General features: G+C 39.2%; 2 long non-coding RNA genes across 3 annotated transcripts, besides 1 other annotated feature; one reads left to right on the top strand and one right to left on the bottom strand.

Moving 5' to 3' along the window:
• Window positions 1–461: 461 nt before the first annotated feature.
• LINC01551 (long intergenic non-protein coding RNA 1551) lies at window positions 462–22,552 on the bottom strand. Of its 2 annotated transcripts, NR_026732.1 has the most exons (4): window positions 22,401–22,552; window positions 21,823–21,896; window positions 17,265–17,398; window positions 16,696–17,150 (listed from the first exon to the last, which is right to left on the bottom strand). It is a non-coding gene; the product is annotated as a long intergenic non-protein coding RNA 1551 (long non-coding RNA). The 2 variants fall into 2 exon arrangements; NR_026731.1 differs by lacking the exons at window positions 16,696–17,150; window positions 17,265–17,398 and adding an exon at window positions 462–3,376.
• On the top strand, window positions 9,469–11,765 carry LINC02282 (long intergenic non-protein coding RNA 2282). Its single transcript, NR_135255.1, has 2 exons — window positions 9,469–9,646; window positions 10,289–11,765. It is a non-coding gene; the product is annotated as a long intergenic non-protein coding RNA 2282 (long non-coding RNA).
• Window positions 20,466–20,965: an enhancer, noted in NCBI's record as "H3K4me1 hESC enhancer chr14:29243497-29243996 (GRCh37/hg19 assembly coordinates)". NCBI's record gives its function as "activates a minimal SCP1, AML or CMV promoter by ChIP-STARR-seq in naive H9 embryonic stem cells {active_cell/tissue: H9 hESC(naive)}" and the evidence as "EXISTENCE:reporter gene assay evidence [ECO:0000049][PMID:30033119]".
• Window positions 22,553–23,153: the final 601 nt, after the last annotated feature.

Below are 23,153 nucleotides of genomic sequence, written 5' to 3'. Positions count from 1 at the left end.
GACTCAATGAAACAGATTCACCCCACTCTTCACCCAACTTGCACTGGAATGTGATATGAGGGAATAATAAGTCTTGATAGTATTAAGCCATTGAGAGAGATTTGGGAGAGTCTAGAAGATTATTCATTCATTAATTTATTCCTCAAATATTATAAATGATAAAGAATTACAAAAAATAAATATAAGATCTGATACTTCAGAGGACGGCAATGGCGGGACCGTAATCTATCTAAATATTAGAGTGGAAATAATTTCTAGAAACTATATGATCTCGAGTATTCTGCAATTGGTCCCTGTGAAAATTTTGCTGCCCAAATCATATCCTGAATCAACATCATCTTATTATGATAATAATATTATTACTCTTAGTGATAAAATGTCGAGGCATTATTTTACATTCATGTCCATACTCTGGGCACAGTGCTAAGCATTTATGTGAATTATTTATTTTAATTTTGAAGTGACCGTACGAGGGAATTTTAATAATACACTCTTTACACTGAGGAAATTGATGGTATAAAAGTAAAGGTGATCTCACATCAAATAAATAGTGAATCCAGGATTCAAAAGAAAGTTTTTGACTCTATGGCCATTCTTTAAAGGTAGACAATTGCATTGTGGGTGATATTTGGTTCCAACAAATTATTGTTTGAACAATGATAACTTATTTCAACAATTCTCCTACCCATGTAGTTGTATGTGCACTTTGTATATCACAGAAAAGGCTAGCAAGAAAACCTGAAGTTGACAAATTTATTATAATCCTGGCTTTACCCCTCATACTGGATACTTTACACCCTGACGTTTATCAACATGCCAAAAAATTATCCATCAAATGGGGGTACACAGCAAAGAAATCACAGGTTGGGCTCCATGGCTCATGCCTGTAGTTCTAGCACTTTGGGAGGCCAAAGCAGGCTGATTGTTTGAGCCCAGGAGTTCAAGTCAAGCCTGGACACCATGGCACAACCCCTTCTCAACAAAAAATACAAAAATTAGCCGAGCGTGGTGGAGCATGCCTGTAGTCCCAGCTACTCAAGAGGCTGAGGCTGGAGGATCACTGGAGCCTGGGAGGCGGACACTCCAGCCTGGACAACAAAATGAGATTCTGTTTCAAAAATAAAAATAAAAATAAATAAATAAAGAAAAAATGAAATTATAATGTTTTACCCAGAAATTATTCATTTATGACAAATTGTTATGAGAAAAACCTCACTAAAGGCCAGGATCATTGCTCACTAAAATGTTTCTACCATTATAAATAGTATATTTGAAATTTGTGTGATTAGTTTATTTTCTTTTAATCTTTTCTGAGACAGGGTCTTCCTATCTTGCATGAGCCAGAGTGCAGTAGTGCAATCAGCTCACTGCTACCTTGAACTCTTGGGCTCAAGAGATCCTCCCACCTCAGCCTCCCAAGTAGCTAGGACTACAAGCATGTGCTACCATGTCTGACTAATTTTTTGGGGGGTAGAGGGGGATAGAGACAGGGTCCTACCATGTTGACTTAGTTGGTCTCAAACTCCTGGCCTCATGTGATCCTCCTGTCTTGGCCTCCCAAAGCACTAGGATTACAGACATGAGCCACTGTACCCAGCCCTGACTGATGTATTTTCTAAGAACACAGCTACTTTGACAGCTAAATAATAATCCAGAATGTTGTTTGAAAAACAAGAATTCTGAATGAAAAATTTTATGGATAGAACATTTAATAACATCAAGTTTAATTAGCCTGATATTAATTCACAATAGTAGTGGCCTTGTCACTGGGACTGAAGTCCAGTGGAATAAAGTCCCCACCCTCGTCTCTGAATCATATTTGAGTAGGGAATTCTTACGCTGTTTCTGGCTTTTCTTTAGTAGCTTTCATGGCTAAATTTTTTTTTCTGTAAATATGTAATAGCTTCTATTAGTTTTTGTTAAAGCCTGCTGGATAGGAATTAATCTGTTAAGATAACTTTGCACATATTTTGCTGATCTATTTTGTTAAATCTGCAATTTTAACAACCAAAGGGCAATCTCATTTTGTGTTCTTTATTTCAAATTTCTTGCTCGTGCCTTTCTCATTATAATCTATAAGAATCAACAAGAACTGAAAATAATTTCAGGACAAGAGAATGTACACTGAAAAATCCTGGCTATCTATGAGAAATGAGTGAAGATAAATAATTGCAGCTGTTCTCTTTTTCTTTCACTTAAGGTAGAAACAGTGTGTTCACAGAATTCAGTTAATTATTACAATACACATCTTGATTACCATACCAAAACTCTCCAAATTCTTCCTATAAGAGGTACAATGTTTCTTTATAATGGTGCCAAACTGGTACCAATGGTAGGCAACAACTGCTGCACTGGAAGGAAGTAGTTCATAACTAAAAGCTAATATACAGTGTCAGAGAAAAGTGGTGCTACATCAGTTGCACTCCATCAATAAAAAAACTAGGTCTGTTCAAGCTTTATGCTGCCACAGTGCCGTGAACTTCAAGAACATTATCCAGTGGCTATAGTCTTAGTGTTCCTTTTTCCAACTAAGCAAATGCCAAGAGGAGTGCCTTCCCACAAACAAATGTGTAGGTGACAGTAAATGCAATAATAAGACTAATTAATCCACTGGGTGCTTCAAAAGTGGAATGAGTCAGCCCGACAGAAACATATAATTTTTTTTTTTTTTTTTTTTGAGACGGAGTCTCGCTCTGTCGCCCAGGCCGGACTGCGGACTGCAGTGGCGCAATCTCGGCTCACTGCAAGCTCCGCTTCCCGGGTTCACGCCATTCTCCTGCCTCAGCCTCCCGAGTAGCTGGGACTACAGGCGCCCGCCACCGCGCCCGGCTAATTTTTTGTATTTTTAGTAGAGACGGGGTTTCACCTTGTTAGCCAGGATGGTCTCGATCTCCTGACCTCATGATCCACCCGCCTCGGCCTCCCAAAGTGCTGGGATTACAGGCGTGAGCCACCGCGCCCGGCCTGAAACATATAATTTTTGTTCCTTTATTATTATTTCTTCTTTACCTGTGGAGCCAGAGGCAAGGAAGATGACCAAGAATTCAGACATAGGAGAGATCTGGATAAACTTAGGAACCTGTCTAATAGTTTAGACCCTGGAAGATACTGTAGAGGAAAGTTGTTTATTGTTGTTGTTTGTTTGTTTGTTTTTTTTAGTGCTGAAGTAACTTTCTCTGGAGACACATCATGAGCACTGTAAAGAACGTTGTTCTTCCCCAAATGCCTTTCTTCCTGGATCCAGCTACTTTTCTTTGAGTTGGAGAACTCATACTTGAAAATCTCTGATTGACAACAGCACACTGATGAGTAGATATTATTGGATGGGAAGCTGATGATCATGCCAGCCTTCACTGTATTGACTAATGAAAAACCTCTGAAAATAACAACATGAAAAGGACAAGGAAAAAGATTATCAGTATAGAAAAGGCAAAATTTCTTAATAAGAGAAATAAAGATAAAAACCTGATTACCAAAGCAAGAACAATTTTAAGGTATATTAATACCACGTTTGCAATTTTAAAATTGTTATGGTGATTTGCTATGTTGTTAAGTTCACCAAGTTTTATTTTTTATTATAGAGTTAATTTAATTGATAATAAAATGAAAGAAATTTTATTTAAATAAGTATTGTCTATCATGTCACCATAAAAATTTGGTAAGGTCTGAATACTCAAGCTATTTCAGTAAAGCAAAGAAAGGTAAATTACTTGTGCATAACCGAGCAGGTGCAATGTTATCCCACACACACACAAAAATATGATTAAATAAATAAAAGGAGCCAGATGCAGTGGCTCACAGTACTTTGAGAGGCTGAGACAGGTGGATCACCTGAGGTCAGGAGTTCGAGACCAGCCTGGCCAACATGGTGAAACACCATCTCTACAAAAATACACAAACACACACACACACACACACACACACACACACACACACACACAGTAGCCAGGCATGATGGCAGGTGCCTGTAATTGCAGCTACTCGGGAGGCTGAGGCAGGAGAATCGCTTGAGCCCAGGAGGTAGAGGTTGCAGTGAGCCAAGATCATGCCACCGCACAATAGCATGGGTGACAGAGCGAGACTCCATCTAAAAAAAAAATAAACAAATAAATAAAAGGAATTTAAAAGAGAAAATTCCAAGGAAGTCTTGGAAAAAAAAAATCTTACAGATTCTACACATCTAATTGTATTACTGTATTTGATTATTAGCAATGGTACAACTATAAAAGATATGACAATACAAACCAAACTCAGCAACTATATGGTTTCATTTGATTCTGCTTAAAAAGTTTCTGTAGTCAGCAACAAGATGAGCCATATTAATGGAGAGAAATCAGAAGAAACACAAAATTCTAAAAGAAAAAATACATATACTCCAAAGAAAAACTGGAAGAAACAGCTGACAAAACACTTAAAATAAGAGATCACTGCTATCTGGCTAAACTAATGAGTGGGAAAATAACTCAAAGAAGAATGAAAACTTTATTATGTCTCCACTACTAATGAACAATAGCTTGGGATACTTGTCTAAAAACTGTACTTTTTTTTTTTTTTTTTTTGAGACAGGATCTCTTTCTGTTGCCTAGACTGGAGTGGAGTGGCACAATCATAGCTCATTGCAGCCTTGACTTCCAGGGCTCAAGTGATCCTCCTACCTCAGCCTCTGCAGTAGCTGGGATCACAGGTGCACACCACCTCAAAAAACTGTACTTTTGGACAATGACTTTTGGTTAGTGGTTGTTTTGAACTCTGTAACTTAATAGTATGTGCATAATAAATAAATAAATAAATAATGGGCCAGTAAACTTTTCCTGATTACTTTCAAGAAAGAATCTGAAGCTTGATTATAATGGTGGAGGAAGCTTCCATTTTAGAGAATAACTTGTTAGTCCTATGTAATTATATTCTGAGAGACAAGATTTGACTTTCAAGTCCCAAAAAGTCATTATCATGATGCTCTACTTTAGTCATGTAACTGCAGATTTGTAAGAGTTTTCTTTTTTAAAAACAGGAAATCAAAAGGAATAAAGTACTAGCCAAATTGACAATGATTTCTTTAAATTTATGGGAAACGCAGTGCCTGTAGTTCATTATTTCAGTGACACATTTGGTTTGTCTTGTCAATAACTATTAAATGGGGGCAGTATATAAAGACGAAGAAGCATTTCATCTTTTTCCATCAGAAAAAGAAAATGCATTTATCCTGTGAATTACCTGTACTATTTCATGCATAGCACCTGTATTGCTGCCACACATCTGTGGAAACACAATATCAGCCAACTGTTAATCAAGGATCACTTCCCTTCAAAGTGACTGATGATCCACTGTTAAAACAGCTTATAAAAATAACTTCTTTGAAAAGGTGCTTCAGGGTTTTCAGACACATCTTACCAGTCCTGCTAGCTTAATGCATGTTTGAAAGTTAATTTCTCATTAATATTTAAAGAAGAAATGGCTTCAGAACAAAATTTAAATAATCCATTTTATTTTAGAAATACAACATTATTGGCATTATTTTCATTTCGATTACAAGGAGTGATAATGTCCAAGATTGGCTTTTAAAACTGTTAATGAGCCCTGGCAATGCGAAAAAGATATGGATTAGGTAGATGTAATGAGATATGATTAAAGGGTGCAGGCACTGAAGGGTGTTGGAGAAATTCTATTCAGAAAGCGTATAATTAGTGTCTGATAAAACTACTTAGTAGATAAGGTTTTTGAAGAAGAAAGGTTAAGATAAACACATACTTTATGACAAACCTGTTTAATTTTTCCCCTTTGGTTCTCTTACATACTCAATATTATGTTGAAGTTTCATACATAAATAATGTTTGTCGAATACTTGATGCAATTCTACCAGACAATTAGAGTGTTTTAATTGCCAGACAGGAGAGAAGAAAATGTGTTGAAACATCTTATTCCATTTTCAGTGTACATTTCTTTGTTGATTTATGTAATGTGGCTAATAATATGCAACCTATCCAGGTTTTAAACAAACAAATGAACTTCTAAAAAGCAAGCTTTCCATAAGTTGCTAAGCAACTCCAAAGGCACATTTTATTAATTTAATAAATAACATTTAGATGAAGACAAATCCTTAAGAAGATTTCTAACTTTATTTTATAAAAAGTAGAAAATCCAAGCAGGTACCCTTCTGATTTTCTTGTCTCTAAGGCCTCAGGGGTAGGCAAAGTTACTGGGATATTCAGTTATATTTGTCTCACTAAGCAAAACATTTCTTCGATTGAAATTGTTGCCATAATAGAAGTTAAGACCTGGGACTCATGGTGCAGCTCTCCAGAGTTGGAGCTCATGCTTCATTCCCATAACTGAGGGTTTTCCAAGCTCAGAATGACTGACATTTTGGACATAGTAGTCTGTGGTTATGGGGGTCCATCCTGTGAATTTAACATGTTCAGCAATACACTGGTCATCTATCTACCAGACGTCAGTAGTGGCCCCAGAGGTGCTGTAACTAAAAAATGTCTCCAGACATTGTGAAAAGTCTCCCAGGGGAGGAAAGGGACAAAAATCACCCCAGTTGAGAACCACTGCAATTGCATAATGGGTGGATATGCTAAATGCAAAAAAAAAAAAAAAATATCTAGAGCTTAACTGGTGATGAAAATATTTTGGGGTTAGTTGCCTTCTCTCAATGTCTAACATCCCCTGTCACTATCAATAATGAAGAATAAGGGGGTAGTACTGATTCCAGTGGTACTCTGGCTTTTGTTCTATGCAAGATTCATTCCTGATTTCATCATTTCAATGCAATTTCAATTGTATAAAAATTGAGGAGAAGGGACGTAATGATAGCTCTGACTATAGCCATTCTCTAACAGTACCACATTCCAGAACTGCACTAATCTTTTCTCCTGCAATTTTCCCTATATTCAGTTGCTGGCTAGAATCTTTATTTATTTATTTATTTATCTTATTGAGACAGTCTTGCTCTGTCGCCCAGGCTGGAGGTCAGTGGCACAATCTCAGATACACTGGTAGCCGCTGCCTCCCCGGTTCCAGCTATTCTCCTGCCTCAGCCTCCTGGGTAGCTGGGATTACAGGCTCATGCCACCGCACCTGGCTAATTTTTGTATGTTTAGTAGAGACAGGGTTTCGCCATGTTGGCCAGGCTGGTCTCGAACTCCTAACCTTAGGTGATCCGCCCACCTCGGACTCCCAAATTGCTGGGATTACAGGCATGAGCCACAGCGCCCAGCCTAGAATCATTTTTAAAATAAAACTCAATTTTAGTAATGTCATCCTCTGCTCGTAGGGCCACCATGGGTCTTTATTACCTCTACTATCAAATAGAAACTCCTCTGAATGGTCTTTAAGTTTTCCTTCAATTTACCACCAAACTCCATCTCATCAAACGTCTTTCTCATCTTTATTTATGCCCCCTTTATTCTTCTTACACACAATCAACTTGCATATTCCAATCTCCACGTGTGACATATACAGGACAAATTCATTTCCTAAAGTTTTACTAATTATTCCTTCCTTTACTTCTTATCAATATCATATTCTACTATAAGAATGACAGGACTGCAATTATTGTGAGGTAATTATTTACTGAATGCCTTCAATATGCCAGACACCGAATATGGGTTAGTAGCTGTTTCTATCAATTTACATTTCATTATTTTGCCCAACCAGATTGTAAGTTCCCAGAGGGTAGGAGCAGGTCTTATTTGTATCCCTCTGACACCTCTTAATAATGATGCTAATAAATATGCTTTATATTGACTTGCAACTATAACATTTCAAATCACTGTCATGATTACTAGCTCACTGGTTATATATTTTGAGTATTTTACAGTCAATGAACGTGGGTCATTAAATGCTCTAGGGAACAGACTGTGGATTACACAACCAGTGCTGAGTAGATATGCATTTAAAACATGATGAGCAACTGAATTCAGTCTCACAACTTCACAACTCTTAACTGGTTACAAAAAAAATTCTTTTGGCATTTAAACATAAAAGTTATTATAGAGAACAAGAACTGCCGAATGAGGCAGAAGACAACACGGAAGTGAATTAAACTATAATACAGCAGCAGGAAAAATAAAAGAGGAGTCGTCGTTTCTGCCTCAAATTCACTACAAGAATTTAAATTCATTTCATAAGGTCTTGACCTCTTATCAAATAAAGCTGTTTTAAAAGAAAGCAAAATGCTGGGCACAGTGGCTCATGCCTGCAATCTCAGCAGTTTGGGAGGCTGAGGCGGGAGGATCACTTGAGGTCAGGAGTTCAAAACCAGCCCGGCCAAAATGGCAAAAGCCCGTTTTTACCAAAAACACAAAAATCAGCCAGGCGTGGTTGTGCACACATATAATCCCAGCTACTCAGGAGGCTGAGGCAGGAGAATCGCTTGAACCCGGGAGGCGGAGGTTGGTTGCAGTATGCCAAGATGGCACCACTGCACTCCAGCCTGGGTGAGAGTTGATAAAACTCAAAAACCTAAAAATCACAGCACTTTACCTCATATGTAGAAAGAAGTCCAAGAAAATATTTTCAGCACAGGTGCGGTGGCTCAGGCCTGTAATCCCAAAACGTTGGGAGGTCCAGTGGGCGTATCACCCGAGGTCAGGAATTCCAGACCAGCCTGGGCAACATGGTGAGAACCCCTCTGACAAAAAATTAGCTGGGCATGGTGGCGGGCGCCTGTAATCCCAGCTACTTGGGAGGCTGAGGCAGGAGAACTGCTTGAGCCGGATAGGCAGAGGTTGCAGTGAGCTGAGATCACGCCACTGAATTCCAGCCTGGGCAACAGGGCAAGACCATGTATCAGAAAAAACAAACAAACAAACAAAAAACAACAAAAAAACCCTATATATATATTTTTCCAACAATTTGTGGTGATTTTCCCCCACACCTGTTTTGGGGAGTCCCTAAATAAATAACACTTAAGTGCCTGTAAAAACCATGTATTTATCAACTTTTCAACTAAATTCAGCCAAAAACAGAAGTCACCTGATTTGAAGATACCCATTAACCCTAGGCATGATATGCCTAAAGACAGAATATCATTTATCCAGTAATTCTTTCAACATGTATTGCGTGCCTACTAAGTGCAGACACTGGCCTAGGCCCTGGAGGCCTAAATCTCAGTTACTGGTATGAATTTGTACAGGGAATTCAGAAAGGGGTAAGTGATCTGAAAAGCCAAAAAAGATTTGTCTTCAATGAGCCTTTTGTCTCCACCTCTAGCTTTCTCGACCCTCAAATTTAAGGAAGTGAAAAAAACTAAAGGACATTCAATTTTTAAAGAGAAATTAAAGAAACAAGTTTAGGATCCCAGCAGCCACCTGGAAGATAGAGAAAACAGCTCCCAACGCTATCCATCATCCATGTGACTGGGCGGAAGTGCAGGAGAGCAAGGGGGCCGGAAATGCAGGGCCCGGCGCGGGGGAGGGGAAGAGTCACGGCCCGCGAGGGTTGGAGACCGGAAGTGCAGGTTCTCCCGTGCGCGGGAGAATGTCGCTGGGCAGGGCGTGACTCTAAACTCAAGCCGCACGAGGCTTCTCAGAGGTTCCTCTCACCACAAAGCCCCATCACAGTACAGAAGGCTTTTTGCAAAACAGTGATTTCTCAGCTTTTCCGAAGAGGTTCCTAAATGTGGCTGTAACCCTGACGTGAGGTTTGTAGTGAAGGGTCCGCGCTCTTCTGCCAGGGTTTTCTTAGGCGAATTGGCGTCCCCCAAACCGGACGGGGAAGTGAACGGACCCCTGGGCCTGGAGCCACGCGGGTGGGGTCGGGGTTGCTGAACTGCCCCGCTAATGCGGAGCGCCTCCCCCTCCCTGAAGACTGAAGGGGAAAGAGGGACGGGGTCCCGGCGGACGCGATCGCAGAAAGCGGTCACTCGGGGGCACCGGAGCTCTGGCGGGGGACCGAAAGTGTGTCTGTTGGAGTGGTTGGCAGTGGCGTTTATTGAAAGAGGGGCGCATTATTCTCCCCTCCCTCCTTCCCCGAAGCCTGGGCGGCTGGCGGCGATCAGGGCTGAGAACTGGCTCCGGCTTCTGCGGGCGCCCGAGGCGCGGGTGGCGCTTTGTGAGCGGCCGCTGGGGCGAAAGGGGTGCGGGGACGTACGCAGGGGGGCTCTTTTTAAATTGAGTTGTTAGAATAAGGCTGTCTTCAGTTTTTTATCTGAGGTATAGAAAAGAAGCTAGAAACTCGGAGTCTTTCTGTCTCTGCCCCAAATTAATTGAGAAATTGTCAGCCTGCCTTGCAAATACACTTCTCTTTCCTTCTCTCAATCTTTTTCTCCCTTCTCTCCCCACAGAGTCGCTCCCGCCCCTACCTACATCCCACACATTTCAGGAGTCCCCTACGTATTCTACAAAACACAGAACGACCATATGAGCCACTTCAGTCCTTCTCAGCATTAGGTGACTGATTTACATCAGAATAAAACAAGAGTTTCTTGCTGGTTTTAATGTAATTAAAATGCACCATCCCTGTATGTTCCCAAAGGAGTGGGAGGAAAAGTGTTTGGACAGGGGACTGATCGTCAGTAGGTTTTCACAGCGTGGTTTATAAAATCACTTTTAAGCTCTCTTCCACCTAGCTGTCACTGAGAATTCGGTTTGAGAGGAAATGACTTTCTAGACGATTTTTCATCTAGATGATTTTTCATCATATTCAACCAAGAGTCTTTCTCATCCTCTAGCTCTCTGAATGTCCAGAAATGTAATAGAAACTCTGCATTGATTTCCAAAGGTCTAATTTCCGGAGGAGCCCTAACTGTCCTGTCCTGCCTACATTGCCTGCCCTCTAACATCCTGGGAATGGGAAGTAACACTGGGATCGGTGGCGGCAGAACTGCGGACCCTAACAACTTCAGATTGTTGAAAGGGGGAGGGGAGAATGGAAGAGAGGAATGGAAAGGCAAAAGAAAAAACATTTGTGTTCATTTACACATTTCCTGTGCAGAACAAAAAAGTCCCACCATCAGCAAAAGAAGTCTCTTCCTCTAAAATAGCAGCCAAAGAGAGAAAATTAGAATATGCATAAAGTCTTTCATTTTCATTCGCACAGAGCACGATTTCCAATTTCCGGCAGATTTGTATTTAAACTGCTCGATTAATCCCAATTTCTGAACAGCATTTTACTTAGCATTTTCCCAAAACTCACCTAAAGAGTTATTATTCCCCTCCCATCACCCTGTTTTGGAGCCTCCCTTTTCCCTATTCTCCAACTGAGAATAAGAATTTCATTGATAAGACTGCAACTTTATTTTTCCTGTCCATTGTTTTCCTCTTAAAACTAGACTGATGCATTGGACCACAGTTGAATGCAAGCTGGTTGTTGTCTGTGAAGCCGCGACTGCAAACGAGAGCCTGTTGGAAAGGATATGTTTTTGAAATGTGTACCTAAAAGAGAATAAACATGATAGGGCCAATAGACTCTTGCAGATCCTCTCATGTCATCAAAACCTTTCCCATTCTACCCAGGTCATATCTTTTCACCACTAGCAATAGCTGAGATGCTTGGACATAATCCACCCTCCAAACCTTTCCTTCCCTCACCCCTTTTAAGGAGCTTGATAGACGATCATGCAATTCTCTTCAAAGGAATATTACTCTTAAATATTCAGAGTGTCAGTCCATTAAATCCCCCTACAGCCCATTACTAAAATATTTTGCTTTGCCACTTGTGCAACAGATCTGGCTGTATCTGCCTTGAAATTTTCTTTGTTGGAAAAAATGTTATTGAGCTTCATTTGAATATCTTTTCTGAAATATCATCTCTTGACTTGGGCTTACGGCTCCTGCTTTTGAAACTGTATATGTTTATTTTACTTAGTAGTAGAATGTTAGAAGAAGAAAATTACTGCATCTTGACTTACGGAAAAAAAAATATATATCTTAATTCTATCAACCCCTAAATTCCTCACTCTTGCACACCCCAAGACAGAAAGAACCCTTTATTTGATTCATAATGTAATCTAAGCAAAATGTAGTGGTTCTGGCTTTCCTTCAGTGTTTATAGATCGCATGTAAATCCCAATTATGAGTAATCAAAAACTTAGAAATACTACTATTTGTTCAGCTTTCAGTTTCTGTAAAGAACATACATATTTGAACCATATGCAGCATGGTATATGTAATATAGGTGCATAAGCATTTAAATATATGGTTTAAGTATCTGGTTAGCTAAACAGTCATTAAGATACTGGGATATAGAAGCATATTAATTTTGTTAAATGGGTCCATAAACTCTGCATGTGTAATAGTGTCTGCATGACTTACTACTTTGAAATAACTGCTTTTATTGTTTCTTTTTCTGTCATGACAAAAGTATTACACTATTTTAGTTATGCATTTTTCTGTTGAGTTGGAGGTTCTCAGTTATATACTATTAAAACCAAAATGTTGGAAAATAAATTCTCAAAAGCCAGTCGGGAGTAAATGTAACAGGATTGAAGGCCACATTTACTGGCAGTGCTGATTTCTTTTCATTTTCTTATTGAAACAAATGTTTGTTTCTTAATCAAAGGAACAATTCAAACAAAGATGAAACTATCATAATAACAGTATTTTTCTTAAAATACTATTTTAATTAGAATTTCATTTTATATGGAAAGCTCCTGTTTGATTTCAAGCTGCAGAACTGTACTTCCAGAAGAGTTGGAGTGAATTTAGTAGTTATGATTAGTGCAGTGAGAAAGCCTGGGGGTATCATTGAAGAATAGATTGATACATAGTTACAGCCAGAGCTGCATTTCTCCCATTGCAGACTTAGGCGAGATAAGACTGAACATCACCTCAGAGAATTTATCATGAAAGCTCCTCATTCTTTGCTGATCTTTAGTGAAATAATATTCTCATGAGCTGGAATTTTTCTCATACTTTTAACAATGAAAAGACTAGGAAGAAATGAAATGAAAGAGGATTGTTCAGCCTCCCTGCCGTGAAAGGTGAAAAGACAGATGCATGGTACTACAGCAGGGAAGTTGTATCCTTTCCCCCTCACCCCCCTTTCTTCCTTCAACTACTGTTTGGTTTTGGGATAGTGTGTATATATAAGTTTGAAGACAATATCTTCATTAAAATTTTCTAAAGGATAACACTTGCTTTTGATATTTATGCCTTTCTCTTTATAATTTTTAAGGTGTACAGATCTTGCTTTTACATACATTACTAGGCTATATTACTTTTCAAGTAAACAGAACAAAGAAAATATGTTCAATGGTTACTCTTCCTTGACCTAAAATTGTCCTTCTATAGCTAAGATCCTTCTCCCTTTGGCCTTAGCTGCTGGACTGCCAAAGAATTTCTGTCTCAGTCTCTGTTCTCTTTCATAATCACCCTTCCTCTCCTAACCAGCTTTCTTTTCCCTCTCACAAAAGAAGGAAGTTAGTTATAAAACAACCTGCTTTCACCTCAGTATCTTCCTGATAAATATTGAGTCTAATTCCCTCCCAATCCATTTTTTAATTTTCGTTCATTTTCTTTTTGGGGGGATAATGGTGCCTGGGGGTTCATGAGATGAGAAGAACATGGGGCTGAGAGGAGAGTTGGATTACTGCAGACACAGACTCGCTGGCAGATACTTTCAAGCCTAGTCCTAGGAACTGATGGCTGTTCTTTCACCTAAACAATAAACCTTGGCAAGTTTACAGCTCACAAAAGCATTTTTCCCTTCTCCTGAAGAAATGGGCTGAGATTTACTTGCCAGACCAACACCAGTTACTAACATCTTTAACCTGCTGTCTTCCCTCCAGGTATACTGCCTTCACTTCATTATCCTCTTTATGTCTCTCTATCCCTAAAGGAATCAAAAGAGTTCATCTGGGGGATCTAATTCCTACTTCTTATGTCTTGCCCTATGGGCTGGCTTCCTTAGGGCCAGTGATCACTTTGGACTCACAGGAACCTCAGTGACTCAGCCCTTCTCAAACTCCTCAGCTCTGTGAACTTGCTTCCCAAATAGGACAACTTGCCCACTCACCAGCAGGGCTCCAGTCAGAAGGCACCTGGTCCTTCTACCCAAGAATCCTTTCACATGTCTGCCTCCGCACCCAGTTTCCCGTCCCCGCCCCCCGCCAAGGTTGGTTTATTTGGGAATGTCATCTGCAGGGCAGCATGTCCATAGCAATAAAGGGGAGTGGATACAAAAATACTCAGTGCCATTAAAAAGACATACCATATTAGACCAAGGGAGTCTCTATTAGGAAACTTGGGTTGGAATAGATCATCCATTTAACCAGTGAAACAAGAAATCAGAGAAATGCCTGACTGCAGCTGTGAACCACAAATTTCAGACTGAAATGGATTACATCTTCATCCTGTCAGCCAGATAAATTATTTTAAAATTGTTTCTGCTATTATTTGCATTATTATTATTAACAGTTTATTTTTGTCATTATTGTAATTTTTGTTATTTATTTTTGTTGTTGTTGCAGCTATTATACTATTCAACAGAAGTTTAGAAAGATTAGTCAGATTAATTAGTTTATTGGTAATTTAAAGCTGAAAACTAGTAATTAAGCCAAAAACTAAAAATGATCAGGGATGATTCATACTAATGTAGGATTTGGGAGGAAAAGAACCTAAATTTTGGACATAAAATTTGGCAGCTGTGAAATAAATAGGACTTGGGGATAAAAAAATATGATAACTGAAATTTTCTTAGTCATTCAGTCACTCCCCCTCCCCCAAATTCAGCTAAGATTATTCTGTATTTGCTTGGTAGAGGAAAAAAAAATTCTATTTGTTTTTGTTGACAGGGAACAAAGATCCCATGTATGTTCTTCATGTGGTTTGCATTTTCATGTGGATTCCCGCTGCTCAGGACCAACCAAACATTTAAGATCACTCCCCTCCAAGTTTGACTCTTTCATCTCTTTGCTCTTGTTAGGCACCTCTCTGAAGAGGGTGCATCATATAAGACAGGTATACAATTTCAGCCCTCTCAGACAGATTCTGTGGAATATAAATTCAATATTGCAATTTTCTTCACAACATGCTCTGTTCTCTTTCAAATATAATTAATGTTTTGATAGCATAGTTCTTTAACTACATATATACACACAAAAACAGACATACCCTCTAGCTTTGCTGTTTGTGTATCTAAAGCAGAAATGGATGCAGTTCTTTGAGTGACTCCTGAAATTCCTCAACTCCAGTCCACAGAGAAGAAATCTGTTTAGGTAAAAACTGCACAGTCTGTTGCCTACCCAAAAATATTTAAAACAATTAAAAATTGTAAGCCCCTAGGATTTAATACTAATTTTTCTGTTAAATTTCCTACAAAATAAAGGATATTCTGAATTGATAATCTGATACGGATATTTACTAGAGAACAGTTAAAATAAACAAAAACACTGTCCTAAAACCCTGGTTGTCTTTTCCAAGTTTTGATGATGGAAATTGAATTTCAATCTCTTCCATTTTATCCAATTGGTGCTAAATTGACAGATGTATAAAAACTAGCAACCACAATAACATAACTACAATGACTTACATAAAAAATTGCTTACTCTTTCAAATACCTCAGCTGTATGTTTTAGTTGAATTAACTCTCTTAATTGCTATCAGTTGTATATAGACATATTTGTATGTGAAGTAGATGGTCACAACAGACAGACACAGATATGTAGATAACATTATGGCCAATAGGAGTTAAGTGAGTAAATGCTGAGCTTCCACATTCAAGTGTACTATATCCCTAAAATTTCATTTCTCCAAATGGATTACAATTAAAAGAGAACAAATAACCTTGCAGATTGCAGGGAATCATATATTTTCTGTCTTTCATATAGAAAATATGTACTATATAATACTTAATCCAACAAAAATATAAGCTTTGGTCTCCCTATGTTGTTACTGAGTTGAAGAAGCTAGATCTGTGGCACTAGAATACTGATTTCCAAGCATCATGGCCATTTTGTTTGAATTGTGAATATATAAAAAATGCTGGTAGGGGAAATATTTTACACATTTCTTCTTTCCACAGATTTTTTAGAGGGAATGTGTAAAAGATTTTATAAAAATCTTTTGAAGTTTTTTTCATAATCTTCATGTGATATTTAATATTTGGAATTATGAAAGAAGATAAAAGAATCAAAAAGGAAGGGAGAACATGTGACTGATTTCAAATAAGTCTTCTTACTGAATGAGAAAGAAAATATTTTCCAGTGTAGTTTTGCAAAAAAAGGGGGAGGGTATAATCAGTGAAAATCTCATTTGTATTTTTTTGTTATGATTTTAGATAATAGCCAAATAGGGTTCCTTTTCCATTACTTTCCTCCAAACTCTTTTCTTTGAAAGCACAAATGTGCAAACGACTTATACCTTTATTCTCTCACAGGCTAATATACAAACAACAAATATTTTCGTTAAATATTTGATAGAAAAAGCCCTTACAGGTCTACAAATTCCATCTTAGTACAAGACTAAATTACCAGTCCAGTTGTTTGGATACAAGTAACCTGACATCTGCCTTTAGTGAGCTATAAAGCAATATATAAAAGGAAGATTTTTACAACATTGATCAGCAGTGATATGTGAGCTATCAAGAAGAAATTATCCCTCAGACATTTTATATTTGTTCTGATTTCTTTCTCCTTATTCCTTTCTTCCAATTTGTTCTTTGAGAGAGACACGACTAATTCTCTGATTCTCCAAATGAGGTTTTGTTTGGCTCAGATTAATATTAAAGAAGATCACATACACGGTCGAAAAATATTGTTATTTTTCTTTAATGGGGAAAATTGGACTCCCGCGTGTCAGATCTGTGGATTTCCGAAAGGCAATGGAAATGGTACTGACATCACTTTGCACTTTAACAATCGGATTTGGTCAGGGTACAAGTTGTTTGTTTAACCCGACAGCTCGGTGCACCCCGTCGCACGCTTTGCACACTCATTAAAACGATTATTCACGACCTGTCGAGTGTTTTCGGGTTCATTCACAGGAAAGGCTTGGAACGAGGGACAGCAATTCAAGTCAACACTGTCCACTACCCCTATGCACGTGAGGACGAGTTGCTGCGTGCGTAAAAAGACGAAGGGAGGGGTGGGTGAGTACGCCTTAGCTATAAGTCCCGTTCATCCGATGCTCTGGAATCTCAATCTCGACAGAATGCCAAGAATGCTTGGTCCTACAAGGACCACGTCGTCGCTACGTTAACTTCAAGGGCTTGGCACAAGACAAAAAAAAAAAAAGGAAAATAAAATAAATAAACTCAAAACTCTCCCTCTGCTCCTCTTTTCAACCTTCTGCAAAACTTTTTAAGTCCCAGGACTCGCCCACCTTCTGTCTGCAGCCACCCGCGGGACTGAGCGGCTCCACCTCTTACAGCGCTGACGCTAAGGATAAGTAGTTTCAGGAAAACTCGCCAGGGTGAGAAGATTAATTCCTTTTCCATCTCCCAAGGCCCTATCGTTCTAAAAAAAAAAAAAATTGTTATATTCCTGCACGGACTGGGGGTGGTTGCTTGGCGCAAAAGATGAAGAATAGGGCTGTTAACAGTATTTGCTAAATGTATCCACACTGTTAACAAGGAAGAATTACTCCTCCAGACTTCAATAAAAGTCCTATAACATGAGCATTAAATAGCCCTCAATAAATTAGGTCACTTTTTTCTCTCAATTTTAAAGTTATCTTTCAATATATTGTAATGGTGATAAGAGAGGCACAGACATTAACGCATCTCGATATCCCACTGTTGCTCTGTGCTTATAAAAGGCACATTACGGGGTCTTTAGTTTTCCTATTTGTTCAAATGAATTCTGATATATAACATTCCTGTGAGATATTAGTTCAAGAGAAATGTCTATCTTTGTAAGTTATAATCACACATAATGCTAAATAATACAAAATATGAGTATATATATAAACTATATACTCAAGAACTCCAGATTGTCTCATTCAGCCTAAGCACCCCTGGCATAATTTAGAGTTAATAGATGTTTTAAAACACATGTCTATATTCAAATGATTGCTACTTGATTTTTCATAAACAGCATTAATAAACCCAATGGCCAGCTTATTGTTATGAGGGTAACTTCATCATGCCAATGGAAAAAGACAACCAAGCTCATTTAGCAGTTTCATTCTATTATATCTGACATCACAAAATCATCTTTTTCTATTTTATTGAAGCACATCAATACAATGTATGAAGAAAAGAATGGAAGTTTTCAAGCAGCATGAGGTTTTAATCAGAAACAGATTCCTAATTGCTAAAAAGCAAGTATGAATAAGTAATTTCATAATCTCCTTGGGTTGCCATAATTCACTATCAGGTTTACTTAAAATGGATCTGTCAAGTGTGTTTCGCTTCCTATATAAGCTCTTTCATTAAAAGCAACCTACGATAATAATCAAGAGGCAGATGCTGAAATATGTAAGTAAATAACTGAAAGTCTCTGCATAAATAAACACAAATCAATGTAGTAATAGACAACACTATTGATGTAGGAATGATCGATTTTAGTTTTCTAACCTGCAATCAGAGCTTGCAATGTATAATTAAAAGTATATTTTTCAACTCCACTAATACTACTACTACTGGAAAAAAAATTCTTTCTGCCAGTTCTACCTGAATGTACTTTATTCCTTCTAGTGTATTTCTGATGGGATGGGAGGAGTACTGTTTTTTCTGCAAAAGCTTTGCCAAACTTTAAAATGACATCATTAATTATATAAATTGTAAAAGTATCAAATAATAAAATTACCACCTAATTCTTGCTCTGAATTTTTCAACCTTTATCCCAGCCTCTAATTATTCATTCAGCACATTTTAATAGGAAAAACACACAATAGTGCTTATTATTTTTAAAGATCTTTTTCAACTACTGTAGTACATTTTGGTTTAAAGATTCTTTGGGCCTTTTGTTAAAAAAAAATAAGTTGTCATTTCCTCAGTACACTATGGAAGCTCTCACACTTATACTTGTATATGGAAGCACCATGAAGCAAGCAAGGAGAACAAAAACTGCATTGTTTCAATATTGTTTCATATAATGATTGCAAAACAAACTAGTATCTGACTCAAAGAAATAAATATACTTTGGATTTCTAGAAATTCACATCTGAAACAATGTTTTAGATTTTGCTAAAAGTTAAATTTTCTTTTTGAGAATATGTATCCCTGGAAGGCCGAATTGATTTAGATTAGCAAGCACCAGTATGTGATGAGTTTGAATATTTAGATTCTGGAGAGTAATGAAAATACAGTGCTCATATTTTTTCTTCATCAACAAAGATGCTTATTTACATTCATTCTTGAATCCAGGCTTCTCAAGCACAAGCCTTTAAAAGAATGTCTTCTTTATGAAATTCAGCTACTTTGAAAGGGATTTTTTCCTATGTGATATCACTGGCACACAAATATTGATTTTGATTGTCTTTATAATATTGTATCACAAAACACTCTCTCAGACTTCTCTCACATCCAGGGCCAAGAATTCAAGGGCAACCGAATCCAAAAGGAAAATATCATCAGTTATTATTTAGGGCTAATTTAACAGATAATTTAACTTCAAACAACAATGATCAGGTCATTAAATTTCAGAGCAATGAGAAAATGAAAGAACTGAGAGACAAGTCTCCATAACCCCATTACAGATTTTAGTCTTCGTGCTCAATCAACGGAATCAAAAACGTCTACGCAGGAAGATACGTTTTCACCTTAAACGCATTGATTCAAAGAATGAGACAATAGGAAGAGATGAGGAGGAATAAAGTTGAAAGCGAGGACTCCAGTTTCTGGGAGTGCCAGCGGAGTAGGCAAATTCAACCTAAGCCGAAAATGAACACCCAAATATGTTTGTTAATTAAACACTCCCTCTCTTTCCAACACGAATCTCAAATCTGTAAATGTCCAACATGCTTTCCTCCTAGCGGCTTTTCTGCAAGATAGGGAAGATAGGACCGAAGATAGGGAAAAAGATTACATGTGCTAAGCAACAGACCACGAAAAAAACATGGGGCATTTTATTTTCCCTCCCACCCTCACAAACATAATTTGTGAGTTATTTGTTATCATTTTAAATGCCTTTTCTGATCACAACACTTTCAGAATGTCTGCCTACCTCAAGGTTTGATAGAGGAGCTGGTGAAGGCGGTGTTGAATCATAGAAATTGAGTCTTACTTGCAGGGGAGGGCGGGTGAGGGGGGAGTCAGAAGTGGACCACCTCTATTCTGCATCGCCCTTCCTTCCCATCGCCTTTCCCAGACTGAAGATTACAGCCTGAAAATCTCCGCACTCGCGGGGTACTCTGCCCACCGGAGTCCCGGCCTCCCTCTGGCCAACAACCGGCGCCTTCAGTGCTCTGGGAATTCCCACCCCGAGGCTACCTGTTTTCCTGTGAGATCCCTGCACCTTGGACCACAGGCTTGGGCAGAGAGAAGCAAAATGGGGTAGAAAGCGAAGGGCGAGTGGGGTAACAAGTGGAGAGGAGAAGAGATGTCCATTACAGAGCAAATAATTTTATCTACTAGCTGAGAAGTGCTGAGATCTGAAACCGCACCGGGTAAACAAAAGGAAACAACTTTGGGAGGGGAAAAAAGGTTGGGGGGAGGTGGTGGCACACAGAAGATTAAGAAGAAAGGGAAAAGGTAGGGAAGCGCGCCAGCCAAGGTTCTGAAGTCACTTTTCTTGGCATCAGCCAATATGAGCTACCCAAACGTACAGCTCTGCTTGTCCTGGGCAAGAGCGCCCTCATGTTGCTGCTCCCTGCGCAGCGCCCGGCTTCACCCTCTGCGGGGATCGCCGCCGCAATGTCCCGAGAGCGCTTCTCCTCTCCTCCTCCGCCACCGCGCAGCCAGGGCGGCCCCAACTCAGCAGCTGAAGTTACTTCTCCACACCGGTTCAAAACCCGAGAAAACAACGCTGCCAGGTCCCTGCCACAACGACTTCAAGTCCCGCCATTATGCCACCTCTCCATCTTCACCCCGGAGTCCCTGAGGCGCCGGGAAAAGCTAATTAATAGGACACCGCGACGAGAGTCCCAAATTCGCTTCGGGCCGAGCCAACCTGTGTCTGGCGCGTGCTCTCAGCCACTCTGGGACAGAGAGGCTCTCGAGCGTACTACCGACGTCTCCTAAGTGTGCATTAAGAATCAATTATTTGCCTGAGATTTCCAAAGCCAGGAACTGGGATATTCCCAGCAGGGACAAAGTCAAGCCCAGAACGGTGTTCATTTCCCTAGTCTTTCGAAGAGACAGAAGAGAAGACTCCCACACGCACCCAGTGCCTCACCCGACCCGGAGCAGCCCGGCTAAATCCGACCGGGACCCTGGTGTGACCCAGGCCAAGGAGCTGGGGGCGGAGGGCCAGCTCTGGGGAAGGTTGGCTATGTTAGTGTGCAAATAGAGAAGGGCGATCCAAAGAAGAACTTTAGAGAGAAGCAGGTTCTTGGCTCTGGAGCAAAGAGCTTTAACTGAAATAAGGATAGCTAATAAACCTGTCTTTGAGCGTTAAGAACGTCCCGGAAGTTCCTGTAGCAACCATAAGACTCAGAAATCATATTTCCACGAAATGAATTAATTTACACTTTAGGACCTATTTCAGTCTCCCACTACCCCTTCTCCGTATAATTTTTTCTCGTTTTCTCTCCATGTTCCTTTGCCGTGTCTACATCCTTTTGACCTGGGGATTCACCGTGATTTCTGTCAACGTGGAAAAAAATTATGCATCCTTTCAGCTACGTCTGTTGGTAGCGAGCCTGCTAACATTTTCTAAGAAAAGATGAACACTTAAGGCCAGGACCCCAAAGTCAGGCGTTAAAACTCAGTCCAAAGCAGTCAGTTACACATATTCCCTACCCTACCCCTTCCCCTCTGAAAAGCACTTTCACTTACGGATCTTGCTGTAAGAGCCATTCCAGTCCTGATATCCTTTTCCTCGGCATCCTTCGGACAACCTCAGGCAGAGCCTTAGGTGGTGGGGAAAAACAAAAACAAAACACAGTAGAAATCGGGAGGGAGACAAGAGGCACAAAACATAACAATACATCATCTATTTGCCAGCCTGGAGCCCCCTTGGCCTACATCCTCAGGATAAGGTCCCTAGAACTGACCGCTAGGGTGGGGAATGGGTGCCTTTGGGAGCCAAAATCTGAGGTGGGTTATTTTAACTGCTAGTGATTGAGGGGAAAGGGCCCTGAAGGGAGAATAGAAAAGGGGAATGATTGGTATAGAGAAAAGAAATCTTAAAAAAAAAAAAAAAATGCACGCAAAAGAAAATCTAGCATGAAGTACTAACTGGGAAAGATCTCTAGCACCTTTTAACTCTTACAGGTAGGTAGCTCTTAGGAAGAATGCAGACGTGTGTGCCCAAAAGAGAGAATCTAGATGACCTCTATTCTTTCCATATCTCCAGGATCTGGACTTAAGTAGAAAAATAAAGAGGGGAGAATTTTAATTCAAGTTTCACCTACCCTGCTTGTTGGAATGGCTGCGCAGATTTTCATGCTGGAGAGTTCCATCTGTCTGGCAGAAGCTGAAGTGGTGTTGGGGGCAGGTTATCTGGTGAAGTAGGAATGTACAGGAACCCCGCCCTCTAGGCACAGTTACACAACCCCAGCAACCCATCTCAGCCAGTTCTAAAACCTCTAATGATCTTCACCTTCACCCTTTGTTAGTCTAATTCTCCAACAGGCTTTTAGTCTCAAACACAACCAACCACTTTAGCTGTTCATAAAATTAATTTCTCAAAACCAAAATTTTCCCAGTGCATGCAAATTCCTCAACAATGTTGTAGAAAATACACTTTTTAAAAAACTACACTTCTATAGACTTCTAAATATATTGAATTTATCCACGTATTTGGGTGAAATATGCACCAACTTAAATATATATTAAAATCAATACACTATGAGACTAAATTTTTGCCTCTCTGCCTTTGATTTTATGCAAGTCACATAAACTACATGAAGGCTTCCATGACCATAAGGATATTTGTATTAAACCTTGTTAGTTCTAGACTTCATGTTCACTTGGTTCCCAATTTTGTAACAGGCTGAAGAAACATATTTGAAATAATACTTTAACTCCTCTAGTTCAATTACATCATTTTCTCAGTGTTTTACATATTAATATTTTTTGTTAACTTTACAACAGACAAATTCAAGTAAAATACTTTAAACCTGGAAATAAACTTTAATTTGGGATTTCAAGTTTTAAGTTGTGAT

This window comes from Homo sapiens, chromosome 14 (assembly GCF_000001405.40).
Source record: "Homo sapiens chromosome 14, GRCh38.p14 Primary Assembly".
NCBI classification, from domain to species: domain Eukaryota; kingdom Metazoa; phylum Chordata; class Mammalia; order Primates; family Hominidae; genus Homo; species Homo sapiens.
Note: the sequence above shows the minus strand (reverse complement) of the source record. Positions and strands in the feature narration are given on the sequence as shown.